This window comes from Homo sapiens, chromosome 7 (assembly GCF_000001405.40).
Source record: "Homo sapiens chromosome 7, GRCh38.p14 Primary Assembly".
Lineage (NCBI taxonomy): Eukaryota > Metazoa > Chordata > Mammalia > Primates > Hominidae > Homo > Homo sapiens.
The window spans coordinates 155,759,967-155,781,823 of NC_000007.14; the positions used below are offsets into that span (position 1 = coordinate 155,759,967).

The following is a 21,857-nucleotide window of genomic DNA, read 5'->3' on the forward strand; positions in this document are numbered from 1 at the left end:
GCTGAAAGTTGGCCTTTTATTATCTTAGTGGTGTAGTAAATAGGTGTGTACTGATTGACAGTGGCTGTAACCTAGTATTCTGATGCTATAATCTCTCTTAGCACATTCAGAACTACTTAACTTTAAAAAGTACAGGCAACTATTTACTGATCTATTCACTAAATATTTCAGTGCCTTCTGTGTGCATGAGACATTTTGGTAAGCTGAACAAGAGATTCACTGGGGTCTAAACCACTGGCTTCTCTCAAGCACTTACAAGACAGCAAATGTTGTGGTCGGCATCCTTGGAGACCTAGTTGGTTAAGCTACCAGGGAGCTGATTTAGATTGCTTAAGTTCATACGATGGAAGTCCTTCTTAGAGAGCAAACCTTCCACAGTCCATGCATTTGCCCACGTTAGTGGAAAGGGTAGAAGTTGGAGAATCACAGTCAGTAAGACTGTTGGGTTGCTGAGTTGTGTGGAGAACTGAGTGGTCTGATGTCCCCTCCACCTAACATGGGCCCTCATGGGACCTGGAGGTTGGTGTGAAGTGTTCGCGCTTGTAAAGAGGAGGAATGTTTTCAGTGGCAGTACAGCTGAACACGTGCATAGTGAATTTATGAATCTCATACTAAGATTGTACTGTCAGGCAACAACATTGCAATAGGATTTTGGATAAATTAATGGTCACTGGTTCTCATGAAAGATGAGGGTATGTGGTATATATTTTTAAATTTTAAAACTTTTTAGTATAGAAAATTTCAAGCATGTATAAAACTAGAGAGAATTCACATAGTTTTTTAAGATACAGACTGAAAAATTGTGTACTCAGTATAGGCCCTCCCTGCCTGGTGGGATACCTACTCACACCTTGGGTAGAAGACCTTGTGGAGAAGATTTAAGAGGCACAAACTACCAGCCTGACTTTGGATTTTGCGAGCGGTCTGCCTTTTCACAGTGCTTCCATTTTCATGTGGGGGTTGGGGGTAGCCCCTGTAAGACAGGAGCGACTCCCAGTAAGATCGCACGTTTCAGGCGATGATAATTCAAATGGTAGAGTCATAGAGCGTTAGGTGGGAGAACCCATCTGGCTCAGTCACCCGCAGCCCTGGCTGGACGATAGCAGATATACACACGGTCCTTTCCTTTGTGTAGTGTGTTCCCTTGGTTAACCGGGGGGGTGTTAAACCAGCCCTGCGCTTCTGGGATGAATCTTACCTGGTCATGAGGTGTGATCCCTTTTCCGTGTTGCTAGATTTAGTCTGCTAATATTCTGTTGGGGATTTTTTTTCATGTATGTTTATGAGGAATATTCTTTTGCAGTTGTCTTCTCTTTTGATGCCTTTGGCCTTGTATTAGGGTAATACCAGGCCCAAAGAATGAGTGGGGAAGTGCTTCTGCCTTTTCTGTTTTCTGAAAGAGATTGCGTAAGCTTGGTAGTCTTTCTTCCTTAAATATTTGGTAAAACTTACTGGTGAAGCTATTTGGGTCTTTGTTTTTCTTTGTGAATGGTTTTTAATTCATTGTCTTTACTTCTTAGAGTTCTATTCGTATTTTCTCTTTCGGTCAGTTTTGGTACTTGTGTCTCGTTGAATTTGCTCATTTCATGTAAATTGTCTAGTGTGTTGATGTAAAGTTGCTTGTAATGTTTTTTAAATTTCTTAGGGTCCATTGCGGTGATCCCTCTTTGTTTCCTTATTTTGGTAATTCATCTTCTTTCCTTTTTTCTTGGTCAGTATCCTTAAAGGAGCATCAATTTTTTGCTGATCTCAAAATACCAACTTTTGGTTTCACAGATTGTCTTTTTTCTGTTTACCATGCCGTTGCTTTTCGCTGTCATCTTTATCATTTTCCTTCCTTCTACTTGGGTTTGATTTCCTTTTTTGAGGACGGGGGACTAGCTTCTTGAGGTAGAAACTCAAATGACTGATTTTAGATGTTTTTCCTTTTTGATGTCATTGCTTAAGTTGCAGCCCCTGAATTTTGATGTGTTGTATTTTTGTTTCCATTCAGTTTAAATATTTTTTGTTCAGTGTTTGTATTATTTTTATTTCTCAGCCTAGCTTCCTAGGGGTTGACCCGACTGCTGCGTAGCTTAGTGGCCAGCCAGCGCCTGGGATGAGCTTGTGCTCAGGTCTCTGGACCCTGCATGGCCCCCCATGGCCAGTTATCTGTGTGTGGGTTGGGGCTTCCCAGGCAGCCATGTGGGGAGAGCCCATCTAGGCCTTCTCTAGCACTTTCCGTTCTGGAATTTCCTCATTAGGTTTCTCAGATTTCTGGCTGGTGTGCTGCCTGTTCCAAACTGAACCATGACCAGAGGCCCACAGACCCATGGGCTTCCCTGTGCCTTTCCCTCTGAGGGTGCTGTATGGCCAGTGCTGCTGGGGAACTTCAGGCCTTACTGAGTTTCGGCTCTGTGCTGATGGAGCTGCCACACACTGCACTGTCCTCACAGCTCAGGAATAAGTGCTTCTCCATTCTTTTCATTTTCTTTGATTTCCAGAGTCCTCAAATGTTGTTTTGGAAAATTTTGTCCAGCTTACACTTGTTTTGGAGAGAGAAGATTTGCAGACATTTTCATGCCACGTATTCCTGTGTGACATTTTTCATCTCATCTTTTCTTGAGTCCCTGTTTCTTTGTACAGTCTTAGCAGAAACAAGCTACATCCATCTTGCCCCAATCCCATGTTCCTTCTTTTTGCAGAGCCCTTTGTTCCGTTTGGTCTCCACAAGATAACGTTTGGTAGGAAGAGCGGGACACAAGGATATGTGGGCTGCTTCTGAGCTGGTTGACCAGGTTGCCCCTGGAGACACTGGCACAGCTAAGCACCCTGTGGGGAGGGTTTACTATCCCGTGACTGACACTCCCTCCCTGTCGATGTTGAGAGTGGGCCTCGTGCTAATAAAAGCCTCCGTCTTCCTTTTCAAGTCCAAGCATCCATCCTGACATAATTCATCAGGGCGGTGTCTGCCGTCCTTGCTGTTCTTTCCCAGCCTTCAGCTGTTCTTTGGGAAAAAGACTACTCAGTACTGAAAGCAGCTGATAGGCACCACCCTAAGACATGTTTATGCTGCCTGGACGTATGAACAACATTGGTGGTGCAGTTCCAAGGTGTACGTGCCTCCTGATCGATGAACAGACTGTTAATAAAACACAAAAGATAAGATTCCTGATATTTCTAAGGTTCTTCGTAGAGTAAATGCGCTTCTTGGAAATCCACGTACTCTGTAGTTGCTAATGGCACTTGTAACTCAGCAGAAGGAAGGGAAGTTTCTAGCCAGTATTTTGTGATGCTCTTCGGCGCTTCAGAGCACTGCATTGGAGAGGTCAGAGTATTTGAAGTTCACGTATCCACAGGGGGTGGAAGGCGCCGTGATGGGTTTGGAAGACTTACAGTCGCAACCAGCAGGAGTTGGGCTCATTGCCTTCTTAGGGTAGGTTGGAATAGGAGTTAAGAGTTTAAAACCACTGCTCATGCAAACTGTACATTTTAACAAGAATGCTCTTGAAAGTGAATAATGCATGCTGAAAGTGAAAATGCGTGTTGGATATGAAGTATTTTGAAAATAACCAGTATTTCACGGAATTCGACAACATTTATTTTAATCGCAGATCTCTTATATGAATATAGTAATTAAAGGGCATCTTAGTGTTTGAAATTTCAAACATATTGTTAGAACCTGACCACTCTCCAATGAGAAATGTCCTTACTGGCTCTAGTGAAATGACAAGTTTCGAGTCACACTTGTTTGAAATGGTTTTGCTTTGTGGGTGAACACTGGCTGAGGTGGGCTTCCTAATGCTGGGGAGGAGCTTTTGGTGGAGCAGACACTGAACAACGTGCTGCCTTCTTGGTTTCAGCAGGGAGGAGAGAGCGATGGCTTTTTTCACCCAGAAGGCCAGCCCCAGCGGCTTCCCCAGCCTCCGGAAGTGGGACCACAGCCTGCCCGCAAGGTGACGCTGACCAGGGGGGGCCTCCAGCAGCCCCCACATCTGCCAGCGGGGCCCCACGCACACTCGCCTGTCCCTCCAGGGATCAAAAGCATCCAAGGAATTCACCCGGCGAAGAAGGTACTGCTTGTTGCCTCGCACGCAGCCCTGGAAACGCGAAGGCCGGTGTGAGGCAGTGTTCAGACGTGCTCTAATTTGTAGCGCATGGCACACAGTAGTACTCACATTCATAAGTGAACCATCATTTCCTTTGTTCTGGCTTTGAAAACGCGTTAACATTTTCACCAAAGCCTTTTCCTCTCCTGACTTATTTCACAGAGCAAACCCAGAAGAGCACCCGCAGCCAGCCAGGAGTGCGATTGCTTCCTGCCGCTCTGAACTGTCGACCCAGCAGCATCTGCTGTGCTCTCGGGACAGCGCCTGCTGCTGCGTGTCAGCATGCTTTCCTTCCTGTGTTCACTGACTCACCAGAAATTTTACAAATGTGAAATCAAGTGCATGCTCATGGCCCCAGTTGAGACAGGGGAAACTGAGGTCTTTAGAAATGAAGTAACTTGCTCTAGGCCACAGTTCCCAGCTGCTTAATCCTTCCCTTAACCCTGGGGATTGGAAGGAGCTTCTCTGAGCTCAGGCTGTGAGGCAGGAAGCAAGGGTGCTCCCCATCCCCCTTTCTGTTGGAGTGGCCGTCTGTGCACTGGGAGCACATCCTGTCACGTACGCAAGTGACAGAGCGCCCTTCCCCTCAGCTTCTAGTGAGGCATCTTTCTGGCTCCCCAGAGTCTTGAGAGTGAAGTGCCCTCTTGGTGCAGAAGCCAGTAGCACCTGTTGGGTGGAGCTATGCAGAGGGAGACCTGGGCGCAGCCCTGCTTTGCGCTCTGGAGAACGGCAAGTCTGCCCGCTCATTCTCCCTCGTCATCTCGTCACTTTAGAAGTAGTGTCACTATTAAGACTATTCTGGCTCCTTTTGAAGTACTTAAGTTACTTCGTCTTATCTCATAAACACTTCATGATATGAGAGCAAACAAAATTCCATTTTGTACTAGAAAACAGATGTGTAGACAGATTCAGTGATAACGCCAGTGTTAAAGTGATGGATTTCTTTAAAGATCGCTGTGGTCTGAATTTTCTTCCTTCAGGTGCCATCCCTGAATATATGATGAGAAAGGCCTTAGAAACACCCTCCATAACGCGCACACGCACAGCACACTTGAGTTTCTTCAACTTAAATGTAAATGCTCCTGTGACTGAGGGTCATGATGTTTCCTATCTTACTTAAGCAATTCTGAGCATCTTATAAGAAGATGCATTTAAAAAAACCTGGTGCCTGGTGTATATAAGTAGGCATTTGTTAGAGATATTATTGTTAATATCATAACTTACTCTAGTTAGAACAGAAGACTAGTTAGTTACTACTGATTTCCAGCCAGGGTAACTGTAACTTGCAACTTCTCATGTGCATTTTCCAGTGTGGTTTCTCTTGAAATAACCCCTTGCAACTGTTTTAAAACTTAATTCACAGGCATAGTTTTGCTGCCTTCTTCAGAGTACTAAGAAATGTGGAGGTTTTCTCTTCGTTTCCTTTTGTGTGCGTGCACACTCAAGTCCTGAGGTTCTATTCCAGTTTCCACCTAACTTTCTGCCTTTCTCTGTGATGGACTGGGAGGCCACTTTTGCATTCTGCCCGAACTCCCCAACAGGATTCGGGTAGGCCATCTGGAAACCTAGTGCCGTCCATCACCACCCTGCCTTCTGCGCTTCACCGCTGTCCTAGGCTACATTGGGCACATATGTTCTCTCTGACTTTCTAATCTGGAGAAAGTGTGGGAAAGTTCAGCAGTTTCCTCTTCTTTAAAAGTTCCTTGAGCAGTAGTTTTGAACCCTTGGCAGCTTTTAAAAATAATAATGCTTAGGCCCGCCTTAGACCAGCAGAATCATACTTGGGGAGTGCCTGGGTCCTCAGTCACAATTGTGTTTTGTTTCTTTTGAAAAGCTTGCAGACGATGGAAATGTGCAGCCACGGCTGAATTTCTGGTTGCAGAATCTGCCTGGGAGGGTTTCAGGGTAGCAAATGTAGTCTCTGCCAGCGGAGTCAGGTACATGATGCTGTGGCTTGTTGTGACTGTAAGGTGGACTTAGCACTGTGCACAGCAGGTCCTGCTTAAACCAGCCTATACTACACTAGGAGAAATGGGGGCTCTGGGACTCTCAGGACAGGATCCAAATTCTGAACTGTCATTTGCAGCAAGTTTCTCAGCCCTGACGGGTGCCTGATCTACACAGAATGATGATGACACAGAGTGCCCACCGAGCACAAGCGTGTGGCCCCTGGAGAGGTGCAGGCTTCGTCAGCTCCCTCCTCTTCCTCCGCCTACACTTAAACTTGCTGGATATAGTTGTCTCATTTAGCTATTAAAACATTCTCTGATAGTGGATAGAAAACTACAGAAAATCCTGTAGCTCATGGTATATTTTAATGGATTCTAAGTTATTTGTTCACTTTTATATCTTAGTGACTATCGAAGAAGCTCAGGCTTGAAACTCTGAATGTATTTCCTTTGTTGTCACCAGGCCATCATGCACGGACGAGGCAGAGGAGTGGCCGGTCCCATGGGCCGGGGGCGCCTGATGCCAAACAAGCAGAACCTGCGGGTGGTGGAGTGCAAGCCCCAGCCCTGCGTGGTGTCTGTGGAGGGGCTGTCCTCGTCCACCACGGATGCCCAGCTGAAGAGCCTGCTGATGTCAGTGGGACCCATTCAGGTAGCCGCCTGGGGGTGGCATCTGTGCCACGGGTAGTTGTGTCCCAAGACAAAATCATTTCTTGATTTAAAACACAGTGCCCTTTGTGTTGGCTACTTCATATTAAAATAATACTTGGGAAGTAAGACAAATAACCTGTTGTGCATACTTAGTATCAGAACATTTGCCTCAAACGTTTATTTTGAAATTTTCAGATTCTTAGTTATAAATTTTAAGAAATAAATACCCCAGCTGAACAGATTATCCTTTGAGATCCTTTTAATTGTCATAGAAGGTTCACACTTGCACACATACATACAAAATTTTTTGTTCTATCAAATGACTTGTTTTATTTGTAATAACATTACATTTTAAAGTATTTAGCCTTCTTTTCCTTGCTTTCCAGAAATAGCTTCATGTGCTAAATAGCTGTGACTTGGTTTAGATTTTACAAATATGACAGTATCTTGGATTGTATCTTCATCTCTTAATTTAAAGCTGGCTAACTCTAATGCTGAAACATGCCTGCTGAGCTGGCTGCAAATGAGATGCATGAAAAGGAACACAGTTCCAGGTCCACTGGAAACAGGGTTTTCCACGGAAACTCCTGGTCTCTGTAGGCTGACCCAGCGAAGAAGCTACCTGCTTGTTCAGTCCGATTTCTGGCCTCCCCGTCAGGTGCCACCTGTGGTGCCCATTGTTGCCATTGCCACGCACCGTGCGTCCCGTGGTGGGATCTGGTGTGTCTGGGGGCAGAGCACTTTGGAAATAAGACATTTTTGGATGCACAGAGTACATGTCAGAGTTCTGAGGAGTCCAAAGTGCTTTCTTTCAAGAATCTCTTACAGCCTCTAGCTTCATGGGTGGATTTGGAAACATGTTAACACTAGGGTTGATACGGGTAATTAATGTACATGTTTTAGATCTCCATCTGCTGTTGACAGTTCCTAAAAATGAATAGATGAAAACTCTTCCAGAAACATACATGTTACTTGGGTTTAATTGCTGCCATCTTCATTACTGGCTTCCTGGGGAGATAGGTTTCATTTTTATTGGTGTGTAGTAATGGAAAGTTAACCCAAAGCCTTGGCTTCTGTTTGTGATAGAGCGGGCTCCCTAGTGGTGCAGTTAGGAATACTTCATCAGCTATTAGAAGCGTACAGTGTATGTTTAAGGATATTTCAAAACAATTGATCATAATCTGGATTAATTTGCAGGAACACGGTAGACACTAGAGCATTTTAGATGGATTAAAATGTGGTTATCCTAATCTGAGATTCTCAAAATAAATGGTGATGGAGAATTCTGGTCCAGTAACTGTGTAGCAGTGAGTCCAGATGAAAAAACCCTGAGCCTAGTCTGTTGTGAGCCACAGATGGGTGCGCTTGGCGAGGCCTCACGTGTGTGGCCCAGTGTCCTGCTGGTCCTCCTGTCTTTGGGGCGATCTGCACTTCCCTGTGGGCAGAAGGGTTGCACTGTTGTTTTCATATGTCACCTGCTACTTTTGTGGACTTTGCTTCATCCTGTGTAGTCTTGATCATTTTCTTGAATATTTTTGAGTGTGATCGAGTTGTCAAGATCCATACCTGAACAGCAAGTACTGTTTGCTTCTCACAGCATTGAGTGAGGCTCAGAGCCTACATTGTGAGAATATGCTTGGAGTCATTGCCAAACCAGCTAATTTCTGTCTTGTCTTTTAAATTGAATTTTGCATTTTGTACCGTGGGTTTGTATAGACCTCTTAAATGGTCTCTTTTTCCTTCCATTTGCTTCCATTTCCTTCGAGTGCTGGGATTACAGGCGTGAGCCACAAATATTTTTTATCCTAAATGTTTTGGAATAGTGTCGAGTCTCTGTCTCTTTGGGATATGGCACCACCTAGTGTTCACTGGTGTAATGCCAGGTGGTGTCTACACCAGGAGGACCTATATTCATTCCTTTGGGCCTTTTAATTTTAGAAGATTCTAGTAACTGCATGTTATTTTTTGTTTTTGTTTTTGGAGACGGAGTCTCGCTCTGTCGCCCAGGCTGGAATGCAGTGGTGCGATCTGGGCTCACCGCAACCTCCGCCTCCCGGGTTCAAGCGATTCTCCTGCCTCAGCCTCGCGAGTAGCTGGGACTACAGACGCGTGCCACGCCTGGCTAATTTTTTGTATTTTTAGTAGAGACGAGGTTTCACTGTGTTAGCCAGGATGGTCTTGATCTCCTGACCTCGTGATCCGCCCGCCTCAGCCTCCCAAAGTGCTGGGATTACAGGTGTGAGCCACCGCACCCGGCTGTCACTGCATGTTAACTATACTTTTTAAACCCATGGAATTTGAGAACTTTTCTCAGTGTAGCAGTGATGTGGTAGCCAGTTTTGTTCTCAGATTAGTGTTTTACTTCCTTAAACTACATTAATAAGCCTCTCCAGAAAGTCCATTTCAAAGACATTTATCTATAGACTCAGTGAGGAAGAATGAGAAGATTTCGTAGAAATGTCATAACCAGAAGATGGTCTTCCAAAAAGTTTCGAACTGTAACCATGTTTCAGAAATTGTAACTTGACAAGAACTTGATTCTTCGAAGACTAGATATTTTTTTTTTCTGTCTACTCATAAACCACATAGGAACTCTTTCGTTCTTCCTGGGTGTCATCTGGAAGGAACTGAAAGAAGCAAGAAACCGTCATCTGTGTTTCTTGCGGGAAAGCACATTAAAGCAGCGGGAAGAAGGGGAGTGGGCGCACAGCCTCCCTGGCTGGGCCCTAGTGACCGACTTCTCCCGAGTCAGCTTTGCTCCCAAGGCCAGGGGGGCTGCCGTCCCCCAGAGGCTGCTGAGGAGAGCCCTCGGAGATGCAGTGCAGAAGCCTCTCCCTGACGCTGCTGATTTGGGGGTAGGCATGGAAATGTAGAGAGTACCGCTCAGAGAAGAATCTGCCCTTTGCAGAGCGGATCTCAGCCCACCATGGAGGCCCTGTGAACTCGGTGGAAGGTGGGATCATCTCGGCGTCTGACTGACTGATTCTGCTTCTGCTTCTAAGATAAAGTGGATCACCGAGAAGACAGCCCCTTTACGTCTGGTTCTGACTGCAGGAAGGCCTGGTTGGTGAAGTAGAAAATGTTGGAATCTTGAGTGAGCAGCTGAGTTGTTTTGAAGTTTGGACAATTGAGAAAGAAAACACTAAGCAGTGTCAGACACGGATTCCAGAAAAGCCCACGTCACAGGCTTAAAGAACAGATGTGTGTGGGCACATGATGGGAAGCCACAACGGAAAAGCTAGTTAACTGGAGGCTCTCCCACAGGGTTCTGAGAACACGGTTGTTAATCATTCCAAAAGGAGGAGGAGGATTGAAGAGACCTGTGTGAGAACACAGAGCTTGTCTGTGCTTTAGAGGAGAAGCATGCGTAAGACAGGGAAGATGGGACAACCAGGAGTGAAAAGGGAAAAGGAGAGGTCAGGAGACGTTTTAAAATTAAACCAGAGCAAAAGGAGCAACGCGCCCGGGATGTGCAGGAGAGCCCAAACGTTGAAATTCAGGGGAAGTGCCAGAATTGGTGTCCAGGAAGACCCAGCATGTTATGATAATAGATGAAAACTTGAAATGGGGCAGAAAACTCGGTGCGGGCTGGAGTTGCCCAGAGCACTGTTGTGAACCTTTCTTTACCACTCAGCCCACCGCTGGAATCGTGTGCAGGCTTCAGGCGCCCTATTTCCAACAGGAGGTTGGTCACACAATGACCTGTGTGTAGAGGGGAGCCCCATGGGCCAGTCCTGCACACCGTTCCATACAGAAATGCTTAGCAGGCTCACTGAGGCTCTGCAGGGGCTCTCGGCCCTTCCTGCCAGGGAGTGCCTCCCCCACCCGCTCTAGTGTCAGACTCTGCTCTAGGGTGGGGCTCAAGAATTTACATCTCTCATGATTTATAAATTGGGCCTATTTTAAGCAGTTTGACTTGTGTTTAAAAGCAGCTGATACCTTTTTTTTTTTTTTTTTTTCCTTTAAGTGATTCCTTAAGGTGCTAGAATTGTTGGCCAGAGGGAGAAAAAGAGCTTGGTGTTTAGGATTGCAGAATCAGTTGTAATCCTGTAACATTTTAGTTATCTTTATACATGCATGCACACACACAACCACAGCCATGCACAGACATGTACACACATGCACAGACTCTTCCTCAAAAGAGGAAGAACTTTTCATGGGGAAAAGAGGCGGGTTCTGAACAACATGGAAGCTTTTCGCTGCCAGGTGGCATGGTTGTTGATTCGATCTTACGGTTCTGGATGGGATTGCTGGGTACACATGTGTGAAGCTGCCAGCTGAAGTGTATTCTTTTAACTTGCATTTGCTACTTATTTAGTAGCCCAGTGAGATTTCCTCAGAAGTTGTCTGAAGATGTCTCTGAAAAATGAAAAGCCAATCAGGGTGAGAGCTGGTGTGCCAGGCTTTCCCCTCTCCCTGCCAGTACGTTATGTGGGGGCTGGGGGTGAAGAAGGAGGTCCTTACATAGGTCAGTATGTAGACTTGAGACAAATTCTAACTTGTGGTTTGTTCTGGGTGAAGAAAAGTTTTAACTCTATGATAGCGTGTTGCTCAGGTGTGTAGACGTGTATATTTTCACAGTGGAAGCTGGCGACCATGTCTTTAAGCTTTCACTGGAAAGTTTCTTTTCCTCTGCTCCTAATAAATCACGAATACTTGTCATTTTGGTAGGTCAAAAATGGTTGAATATTGACAATTTCTACAATTTTGTATCTAGAAAACAGGGTTTATTTCTGAAAGAAGGTACAAAAATGTAAGGAGAGAGGGTAGACAGGAAGCAAATTTTAGGGCAGCACGCTTGTTCATTATGTTGAGTGACTGAAAACCAAGGCATTCCTCTGATTGAAGAATCTCACTGGAAGTTAATGCTTTCTTCACGGATAGCTTCTCAATCAAATCGAGGTTTTTAAGCTACGTAGATTACAAGTAAAACCTGATACCAAATATTGTATGATTGGCAGCCTGATACCCTCATTTCACATTGTGAAATTGCCCAAAGGAAATAAAGTCACCACATATATCTAGAAATGTTATTTCCCAAAAGAACTGCATGATATTTTCTTTTTTCTTATTTTATTTTATTTTTTATTTTTGGGAGACAGAGTCTCGCTCTGTCACCCAGGCTGGAGTGCAGTGGTATGATCCTGTGATCATGATTCACTGCAACCTCCACCTGCTGGGCTCAAGGGATCCTTCCGCCTCAGCCTTCTGAGTACCTAGGACTAGAGGTGTACACCACTGGGCCTGGCTAATTTTTGATTTTTTTTTGTGGAGACAGGCCCTCACTTGAGTATAGTACTTCCAAAATCCAGATTCTATCTGTGAATTGCAGAATGTTGATCATTGTTTTATGATATATGAAATTTTCCTTATCCATTCTTAATGAAGGAATTTTTATATTTTTAGACAAGATAAGTTTAGAGAAGGTCCATTATTGTAGTTCTCACAGTAAGCTCTGCTGCAGTATTGGCAGCTGTTGTGTGAAACTGTTTCAGTCACTTTTGAGTGTTGTTTAAACCCCCCAGGATCCTGGAGCACTGAGCATGCTGGTGCTGTTGCCGGAAGAACGGAGAGAACCCCGGAGGCACGGCTGCAGCAGCTCTAACCTAGGTTAGGGTTAGGGTTTAGGTTCGGGTTAGGTTAGGGTTAGGGTTAGGCTGGGATGGACAAGTGACACTCACTCCACACAGCCCCTTACCTGGGAACAGAACAGATAGGATTTTCTCTTTGGAAGTTGCTCTATTGTTTCAGTGACTGAGTATCATTCACAGGCTAATACACAAAAGGGGTGCATGCTGAAATATGAGTCTGGCAGATTGGGAGAGAAAACAGGTCTCTGTCAAGAAATACAGGCGGAATTTCAAAGTCCAGAAAGCCATATTGCAAGCCATATTGCTGAGAATGTATCCAGGAGACCACGTTGTGGGGCTTTACTTTTCCTGTTAACTTAATGACAAGTGAAACTATCAAATTTCTTTTGTATTCATTTTTTATTTCAGAAAGAAGGGAGAAAGTCTGATATTTTACTGAACTTGTTTCAGAAAAAAACAGACCAATTCCGTTACTGCCTAGTGGGCTGCCTCATTGCTGGCCTGTCTCAGTGATGTCCCTAGACCAGGGCCGATGCTTCTGGGGTAGCCTGTGCGCAGGCCTTCTTGATGCCCTTGAATTTGGAGACTTGAACCTTTGTATTTCTGTGTAAACGCTGTTGTAGAAGCACTGGAAGACACCTTTTTCGGGAGTGTTTGAGTATTCTTTTAGAGCTCTGCTAGTCTTGTTTACTGATAGACATTCTATAGTTATTAAAATGGAGAGCAGTTATTTCATATACAGTGTAACTTTTTAAAACACTTTCCAAGTCACTGATGTTTTTTAGCTGTTTGCTTCCATTGTAGCTCTTTGACATGCTTTAAAATGAAATGGCCACATGTGCCTCAGTATTTTCAAGGGATCATGTGCTGGTAGTTAGTTATTTTCTCTAGCTATTCTGTTTCACTGAACAGAAGCTCAGACACAGCAAATAGTTTCTGGCCACCAAAAGTGCCTGCTGAATGCAGTCCTTCAGGACAGTGTTTGCTGGTGCCCATGCCAGGACCTGCCCAGGGACACCTGTTCTTAGAAGAATCGGGCACCAGGTGCGGTGGCTCATGCCTGTAATCCCAGCACTTTGGGAGGCCAAGGCAGAGGCGGATCATGAGGTCAGAAGTTTGAGACCAGCCTGGCCAACATAGTGAAACCCGGTCTCTACTAAAAATACAAAAAATTAGCTAGGGCGTGGTGATGGGTGCCTATAATCCCAGCTACTTGGGAGGCTGAGGTAGGAGAATCACTTGAACCCAGGAGGTGGAGGTTGCAGTGAGCTGAGATCCTGCCATTGCACACCAGCCCAGGCAACAGTGCGAGACTCCATCTCCAAAAAAAAAAAAAAAAAAAAAAAAAAAGGAGTCAGGGGCTCCTGTGCGTGCTCCAGACAGCAGGTACTAAGTTGACTGTGTCCTGAGGTAATTGAGAAGAACCAGACTCTAGAGCTTTGAGTTGCTTGAGAGTTCACAGAGCGCCACTGAACAGATCCACAGATGGCTGTGCTCTCCTCCTGCCTGCCCCTCCCAGCTCTAGATCCTAAAGGCTTAAGAAAGCAGAAAGCAGCTCCCCCTCTTCCTCAGGCAGCAGATTTGAGGACTAGATGTAAGTTTCGCTTTGCAAACACTTCCTCTGTAAATCTTTACTGGATTCATCATTTCTTTTGGCCAATCTTCATAAATTCATTTCTTTTTCACTGGCATTGTTTTAGGCCAGTGGGTGGCGACTTCATTTCAGATACCACTGTTTAAGACTGGTGTTCACAAACTCTTAAAGTACAAAATGTGACCACGTTATGCTGATGTCTGCCCCAGGCACCACTGCCCTCACCATGGCCCAGCCAGATGCACAGAGATGGTAGACTAGGGGCCATTGCCTACTGTGGGCTGTGGGGCCCCCATACTAAACAGTTTCCTCTGGTGTGATGAGTCCTGTTCTTAAAAAATTCATGGGGGTCCCTATTAAAAATCACCTGATAAGAAGGCGTGAGAAGAGGAGATGTCTCTATCCAAGGGTACCTGCTACCCGGTCTCCCAGAGCAGGTTGGGGCAGCTGATGGGGCCAGATGATGGGAGGCCTTAACACTAGGCTTGGAAGATGTAACTGTTGCTGTTGGGAATGATTTAGTAAAGCACTGTTTTGGAGTAGATTATCTAGATAAGTAAGACAAATTGCCAGGGAGCTAGAAAGGAAAATCAATTAGTGTGTTCCAAATGTCCGCCTGGACTCATTTTGTGTTAAAACTAATAATGCTTAAATATATATATTCATATTTTTTATTGTCATTTACAACTGATCTTAAAGTGTTTGTTTTCTTCCTCTAGAGTTTACAGATGCTTCCTCAGCAACGGAAAGCCATAGCTAAGTTCAAGGAGCCAGCCCACGCATTAGCATTTCAGCAGAAATTCCACAGGTGACCAGTGTGTTCTGTGCTTGTGGTGATAAGGGGGCGGGAGCAAGGCCCTCCTTCCTGTGCCCTCCCATCCATCATGGTAGCAAGCGTGTGTCCCCACCTGTTCCTGTAGAAGGACACTAGGGCACAAAGCGCAGACGGTGATCCTGTCATGAGGCGCGCGTCCTTTTGTCTGGTGGAGAATTGCCCCTTGTGTTTTAATAGATCTTCCCGGGGAATCTGCCTTTTTATATGATGCGTTTTTATTAAACAGGACCCACCGGGCTCTTTTAGTTTCCTCCCACCTTGGTAGGTTGATTGCCGATGTGCAGGGTTAGTGTCGATCGTTTCTTTAAATTTTCACAGGCATATGATAGATTTGTCCCACATAAATGTGGCCCTGATCGTGGAGTGAGTCCTAACAAGAGAGCCTGACCTTAGGCTGTACACACACTGTGGAATTTCTTCAAGGGAGCTGCCGGCCGGCGCAGAACCCCCAGGAGCACAGGTCTCTCCGGGCCGCTGTCCTGCGTAACTGTTCTCCAGAGCGCCAGCCAGCCACGGGCCTGATTCCAGAGGAGCCGAACTGACAGGACACAGCAGGCTGGAGTTGGTGTTAGATTGCTTCACATTCTCTTGTCACCACCAAGAACTCCAAGTTTTTCGTTTTGTTTTGTTTTCAAAGTGCTTACAATGCATGTAGACATTGTTCTTTGTGGTCTGACTCTATGATCGATCACAGTGACTTAGATTCAGGAAAGAACATTAACGTCACAAGTTCTAAGTAGTTTTCACAGCAAAGAATATTTGATAATGGTTGCACTTATCTTCAGTGCAGGTTAGAAGAGTCTTCTCAACCAAGCTTAACTCGAGTTGTCTTCTCAGCCCTCAAAAGGCTCTTGTACAAAATGTAGATTAAAATTTGGGTGATTGTTGATTGACCTTTGCATACCCTGGAAAGCCAGGGTGTGAGTGGGGTGGTTGGGAGTGGTGCCAGTTGAACAGCAGATTCTGCTTCTTGTCACTGTTTCAAAAGCGTCAACTCTGTGTTCCTAGTTTCGATGAACTCCCCATTCATTTTTAACACACTTCCCAGATAAGGCAATGTGCTGGACAGGCACACGGCATGGCCCTCGGCTAGAGCAGGGTCTGTGATGGCCTCACCTGGCAGCCCTCTGGCCTAGTTCCCACCACACATGAGGTGGTGGAATGGCCTGAAGGTGGAACAGACCTGTTTTTTTCCTTTTTAAATGCAGTAAGGTGGCCTGTTTATCACTGGCTCTGTGATACATGACATTCTTTGGGAATTTGGTGGCCACTGCTTCAGTCACCTCTGTTTTTCTGAAGGCTGTTCCAGCAGGGCTGCCCTGTTCATCAGCGGATGTTCACTCTGGCCTGCCGTTCCCCGTGGCATGCGGGGTGAGGGTGGCTTTCTTCCAGCCCCAAATGAGACGAGTCTGTGTCATCATTGAAACTGCTTTTCGTAATTGCGGGTAGGTTCCTGTAGGTGAGACATATTCTCCATAAAGCTACTGTAGTAGAATTCATTCTGGGCAAACACTGAAAAAAGTGCCTTACAGTATTTCTGCTCATGAAAGAGTTTCACTATTTTGGATATATTCTAAAGTGGACCTGAGCTATTTGAGCAAATAATGATAGGGCATACTCAGACATTTTAGCTACCTTTTATACCTACGATTTCATGTCACATTTACTAATAGAATTAAGGGAAATAGAAGCCCGTTCTTTCTTACTGCCCCTGGAGGGAGCATGGCGCTAGGGCTCTCAGCCTCCTAGAAGGAAGGGACTAAGGAGACGGGCACAGACTTGCGTCATCTCGTTTCCACAGTTGACGTTTTATATTACTTTCTCAAATTAAGTTACCAAAACAAACTGAAGAGCTGAAGCAGGTCTTCCAGACCCTGCGATCCTTTCTGTAGCAGTGATTCTAAAGTGGCGTTTGCTGTGTGCTTGAGAGTAACACTGCACGCTGCAGGGGCTGTTGCAGCAGTCAGTCCCAGGAAGCCACAGCGCTTGTAGGATCTGCTAGGACCCTGCAGCTGTGCTGCCGCCACCTCTGCTCCAGAGTGTCCCAGCCAACCCTCGGAAGATGGGATTGCCAGTCAGCCCTGCCTCACCATGCCTGCAGGAGGCTGTCCAGGGAGCAGGTCTGTGTGCCCATCAGCAGGTTCCCATGGCTGTCACTGCCCACTCATTTCCACAGTTAGATACGGATGTGTTGATGTATTTCGTCTAGTTTATTTGGCTCAGTCCACAGCTGCGTTGGAGTGGTGACTTTGGTAGCCCTTGAGCTCTAATTAAGAGAGATCCAAACCACTCAGTACCCACTGGGCAGTGGGAAGGCCTACCGACTTACTTTATCATTGAGGGCTTACTGATACAATGAAATGAGTTTCATGACTTTTTTTTTTTTTAAACACTTTTTGAAATAGAGTGTGCTGTGTTTAAAACCAAAAATATGCATGTTGTCTCTGAAAAGTAGGCATTGAAACAGACTTTTTTGTAGTCAGTGTTAATAAAACGGATCCTGTTTGGGCCTTCATTGTTAAGGTGGACTTCATGGCCACTGGAAGGTCTGTTTTGGTGTTACCTGAGTGTGACACAGGCCCTGGGGTGTGCGTGTTTCTCTAACTGTCTACACGTGCACATAGGCAGACTTTCTCATAGAATGTTCTTGAAAGGTGATTGGCAAAGTCATGCAGGCCCGCCTTAAAGCGCTGATTAGAACAGTCCAACACAGTCCGACCTCACTCAATACCCACAACCATCGAAAATGGATTCTTAGTACCAGACAATCCCAGTAATGAAGGTTTAGTTTCCTTGAAGGAAACTACAGAAAAGGAAAGAAGCAGAATGAGAAAGGAATGGTACTTAGGTGTTTGGTATGCTGCTCACGTGAAGTCAGCCCACACCAGCCAAACCCTCGTGGAAGATCTGCTGCAACCATTATCTTTGTTCTTGAGTTCATCATGCATTTAAAATGAGATGCAAGAGCATTTAGCATACCATGTAAATATGGACCTTTTAAAATTAAAATACTATTGGAAGTGCTTTCAACTCAGCCACATCTTAGCTATTAGTTCTTTGTGTTGTCTTATCAAAGTTTAATGGATACAGTTCCACAGTTGTTGATGTGTTTGTGTGTATATTCGATTTTTATAAAGATGGTAGTAAGTCAATACATTTATCCTGATCTGTGTATTATTTGTTCACAAATTCAAGAAGCTTAAAGGTCGTAAATATCAGTATCTCATAAGGTAAACCAATAGCTGATTATGTGGAGCCAAGTTACTTCTTTTCTTTTTGCATTATCTTGTTTTGGTTTTGTGCTGTAATAGAAGTTCACTTAGCTACTTTAGATAACCTTGCATTACCACTGGTCTGGCCACGTTTGTTAAATCCTTATACTGATATTCTTCTAAAGAGTAAATCTCATCATTTTTCCAGACAAATTTTGAGGGGTTTCTCTGTTTTGTGGACAGGCAGCAGCCTCCGTAGGCACCCGCACCCTGCCTTGCTGGAGGAGATGGGATGGGGCGGGAGGTGGCTTCACCATAACTATTTTTAATATGGGTCATTCTTAGCATGATTTGTAAAGGTCTCAGGCAAACAGTTGTTGAAGCTTGCTTCTGTGGCATTTCTGAATTGTGGCAGAGCTTAGATCCTGCACCCAGGGGTCTTTTTTTCAAACAGCATCTTGCTCAGTTCTGTGAACAGAAGGCTTTGTTACTGAAGGAGGTGGAAGAGGAGTTTAGGGTGAAAAGGAGGAAGGGATGGACAGACCCAGGTGAGGAGAGGCCTGGGGATTGGGGAAGCTGTCATCTCAGTGTTAATAATCAACTTGCTTCTAACACACTGGCTTATCAGGGGAGGTCATCCAGTCCGGTCGGTGGAGTTGAGAGCCCTTGGGCCAGGGTGTTTGGCGGCACAGGGGCATCCGCTGGATGGCCTGGAGGAGTGGGGGAGGGGAACGTCTTCACTGGGTGGTGATCAGCTGGGACAGTTCAGGTAGGGCAGGTGAGGGACCCCCGAGGCCCTGGAGCCTTGTCCTGGGATGGGTTTGAAGAACTCATCACTCATCACTTGTTTTCTTTTGGCTTTTGTTGTTTTTGTTTTGTTCTGTTTGTTTTGTTTTGTATTTCTTTGTTATTTTATTGGGAAGGTAAGCGGAATGTGCTCATAGACCATCAGACGCTTGTCGAAGGCAGGTCCTAGTCATGTAATTGCACAGGACAAGGAGGTCAGCGTGTGTGATGGCAGCATGCTGTGCCGGCACATCGTGGAGTCCTAGAAACTCTCTAGTCCCTGCGGCTGTTCCCCTCCTCTGCTCTCTCCCTGGAGAGGACTGCCAGCTCTTAAGAAACATTCCTGGTGCGGTGTCTGCAGTGCCCTTTGTGGGTGACTTCAGGCTTCCCGCTTTCGTGGTGCTCTTCCTGGGATTCGTTTTTTTATTACCCTCCCTCCCTACTTGTAGGCCTCAGCTATGGCTTGACGTAATCGCTTTTAGACCCAGGTTGGCTTCCCTTCATTAAGCTATGATCCTCCACCCCATTTTTTTTTTTTTTAATTTGGAGTGGGAGGGAGGGGGGTGGGCGAGAGAAAGCTCGAAAGGTATTATTGGTTTTTCAAAAAATTAGAGGTGACGATTCTACCAGGGAGTTGACTGATAGGAGTGTGTGCAGGGCAGGAAAGGTTCGGAGGCACCCGACTACCACCACTCGGAAAGCCGCTAGTCCAGATCGACTAGGGAGAGGCTTAGATACTTTAGTGTATTTAAAGAGCATTTCAGTTAACTTTTTCAGCTATTTTTAAAGTTTGTGAATGGAGTGTTATTTTGGACATTCTTAAATATGAATTCTCCAAAGGCATTTAGCCTTGACTTAATATTAAATCCTAAGGATTTTATGTAAGGTTTTTTTGCAACCTATTTAATTTTTTTTAAATGCCTAACTTCTGAGGTGCATAAGCCCGTGGTTTGTGTACTGGAACTAAAGCGGAACTCACTGATTCATATTGGATCCCCAGGTATACCTTCTGCTGGTAGCATATGGCTGGAAAAGGCCGTTTGCCTCACACATTGTAACCTGCCTTGGCTAGAAAATGCTTTTAATGTCTCAACTCTCTCTTTTCTGTGTCATGTTTTGGTAGGAAATCTTTAAGATTGGCGGACGGAACAGGTATTTTAGTGAGACACTTCTGAGTACTTGCTTTTTCCTTTGACTTCTAACCAACTAAAAGAGAAGGAGGTCTTCATGTTGATATTTTGCTTGGTTTTATTTTACTGATTTTAAAAGGTATATAGAAAAATGTAGGCCTTTAAAAAGAAACAGCATGTAGTTTTTTATTTTAATATGTTCCATAGAGTGGATAGGCAGACAGGTACTATTGTAATGTATTCTGTATTTAATAATTTAATATACTCTAGAAAGTAGACCTCATGCATTCTTTTAGCATGATTTTCTTTTAAACTGCTTTTCATTTTAAGGGCACCCGTGGCGGAAGCTGGTTTTGCAAGGACTGTGTAAGCTGTATGCGTTCTAGCTGTATGCGTTCTGTAGTCTTTTCTTAGGTGGGTAACATTTTCAATAACGCGCGCACAGCACACAGGGGTGCCCTGAGCCGAAGGAGCAAAAAAAGCCACCGCTCGTTTCTATAATCCAGCTTTGCTTTTCACAGGCGTGGGATCCAGGATGGTGTCCTCTGTGAGGACTTGAACTCTGGGGCTTTAATTCCACTGTTTAATTTTCAGGTACCACAGCAGCAAAGCACAGAGTGTGACCTTTTTCATGTCTGAGCTGATTCTGTTTGCTCCACGTGCCTGCTTCTTGCTACTGTTCATTTAGTAATGGGATCACCTCACCATGCCATGCTCTGGGCTCTCCCTCTCTGTCCATTTCTGTTTTGCTTTCCTGGCTAAACCCATCTACCATTCTTAACACTGGTAGCTCCTGTCCCATTCCAAGACTCACTCTCTCAGACCTTCCCATCTCCCTGGCTTTCCATGCTCCTCTCCCTCCACCTCCTGGCTTCAACTGGGTGAGGGCCGTATTCCTGCCACTCTGCTCCGCCTCAGCCTTGAGAACTCCACGTGGGCTGGGTGGGAAGGTGCTGACGATTTTCACACTGTGTTTACCACTCCATCACCTCTCAACCTTTGCTTCGACAGGTCTTCACTCACGATTTATTCCTCCAGGTCTTTGATTGGAGAGAGTAACTTTTTAATTCTGTTGTTTTGCAGTTTGGCTCTGTAGGAGTGAGTGGCGATTCAAAGATGCCGGCGTCCCGCAGTGTGCGGTTCGTGCCCTTAACCACCCGCTTCTTTGTTTCCCGCCCCTCTGCTTTCGCAGGAGCTCTTGTGCTTGAGTTCAGTGTTAGTGGTAGCGTGGCTCACTCCACTTGGAGGTGGCGGCCGTCTGACCGTGTGTTACTGCTTTGCCGACGGGGCCTCCCGGCCCTGATGCGTGTACACTCTGCGGGCTGCACCGGGTGGCTCTGGTTGGGGGCGAAGCTGTGTTGACTGGGAGAGCGTTGGAAATTGAGACATGGAGAGATGACGGGAGTGCGTTTCTCTGGGTTTGATCTCCATCCTGTTTTCTCCCAGACACACCACACCTACCTTGGGGGAATGCCGTTGCCTGTTCCACCCCTTTGTTCACTTCGCGTTAACTGCTGTGGTAACTTTTTCAGGATCTGTGTGAAGAATGGTAATGACGTAGTTGAAAGGAAAATGTACTGTTGTGTGTTTCATTTGTGTGATTTCGTACCAAAAAAATGTGTTTGAACTATATTGTATGTAATTTGGAAGTCGTGTTAATAAAACCCTGCAGTTTCCACTCTGGTTCCGTAGCCTTCATTTTGTCTGGGCGCTCAGGTCGGGCCACAGCTCATCTTACCTGTGTGTCCGAGACGGTGCTTCCGCACCTCTGTAAGGGGCCGGGGTCGGGGGCTGCCCTCACGCTCCCCAGATTGGCCGCTGGGTTGCAGCCCGCGGCTTTCACGCAGCTCTCTCATTAGTGGGCCACGAAGGTCAAGGGCAGCCGCCGCCTCCTTGCCTGCATTCTGGGCGCTGCATGACTCCGAACTGACCAGGCAGACGGCATCAAAGTATGCTCCTTTTGGTTGGGGGTGGGGGAGTTAGTCTTTTTAATTTTTTAAAGCATTATAGATAATTTTTAC

The 21,857-nt window shown here is 45.5% G+C and overlaps 1 protein-coding gene across 1 annotated transcript in view, besides 4 other annotated features; it reads left to right on the plus strand.

The window, feature by feature from the left end:
• The window catches only part of RBM33 (RNA binding motif protein 33), a 136,820-nt gene extending 115,306 nt beyond the window's left edge, over window positions 1-21,514 (plus strand). Inside the window, exons 15-18 of the mRNA NM_053043.3 lie at window positions 3,846-4,052; window positions 6,501-6,689; window positions 14,593-14,681; window positions 15,027-21,514. Of these exons, the coding sequence (NP_444271.2) occupies window positions 3,846-4,052; window positions 6,501-6,689; window positions 14,593-14,681; window positions 15,027-15,075 (534 nt within the window). The 3' untranslated portion in view covers window positions 15,076-21,514. The remainder of the gene's footprint in view (window positions 1-3,845; window positions 4,053-6,500; window positions 6,690-14,592; window positions 14,682-15,026) is intronic.
• Window positions 3,933-4,092: an enhancer, noted in NCBI's record as "active region_26902". NCBI's record gives its function as "activates an Ori minimal core promoter by ATAC-STARR-seq in GM12878 lymphoblastoid cells {active_cell/tissue: GM12878}" and the evidence as "EXISTENCE:reporter gene assay evidence [ECO:0000049][PMID:35858748]".
• Window positions 8,456-8,649: a silencer, noted in NCBI's record as "fragment chr7:155561116-155561309 (GRCh37/hg19 assembly coordinates)". NCBI's record gives its function as "represses an EF-1alpha promoter that drives an FKBP-Casp9 reporter gene in an ReSE screen in K562 erythroleukemia cells {active_cell/tissue: K562}" and the evidence as "EXISTENCE:reporter gene assay evidence [ECO:0000049][PMID:32094911]".
• Window positions 14,950-16,149: an enhancer, noted in NCBI's record as "CDK7 strongly-dependent group 2 enhancer chr7:155567610-155568809 (GRCh37/hg19 assembly coordinates)". NCBI's record gives its function as "activates an origin of replication core promoter dependent on BRD2, BRD4, P300/CBP, MED14 and CDK7 cofactors, with strong dependence on CDK7, by STARR-seq in HCT116 cells {active_cell/tissue: HCT116}" and the evidence as "EXISTENCE:reporter gene assay evidence [ECO:0000049][PMID:35650434]".
• Window positions 21,489-21,783: a silencer, noted in NCBI's record as "tiled region #3765; HepG2 Repressive DNase matched - State 16:ElonW, and K562 Repressive non-DNase unmatched - State 17:Gen3'". NCBI's record gives its function as "represses a minimal TATA promoter and a strong SV40 promoter by Sharpr-MPRA in HepG2 and K562 cells {active_cell/tissue: HepG2 | K562}" and the evidence as "EXISTENCE:reporter gene assay evidence [ECO:0000049][PMID:27701403]".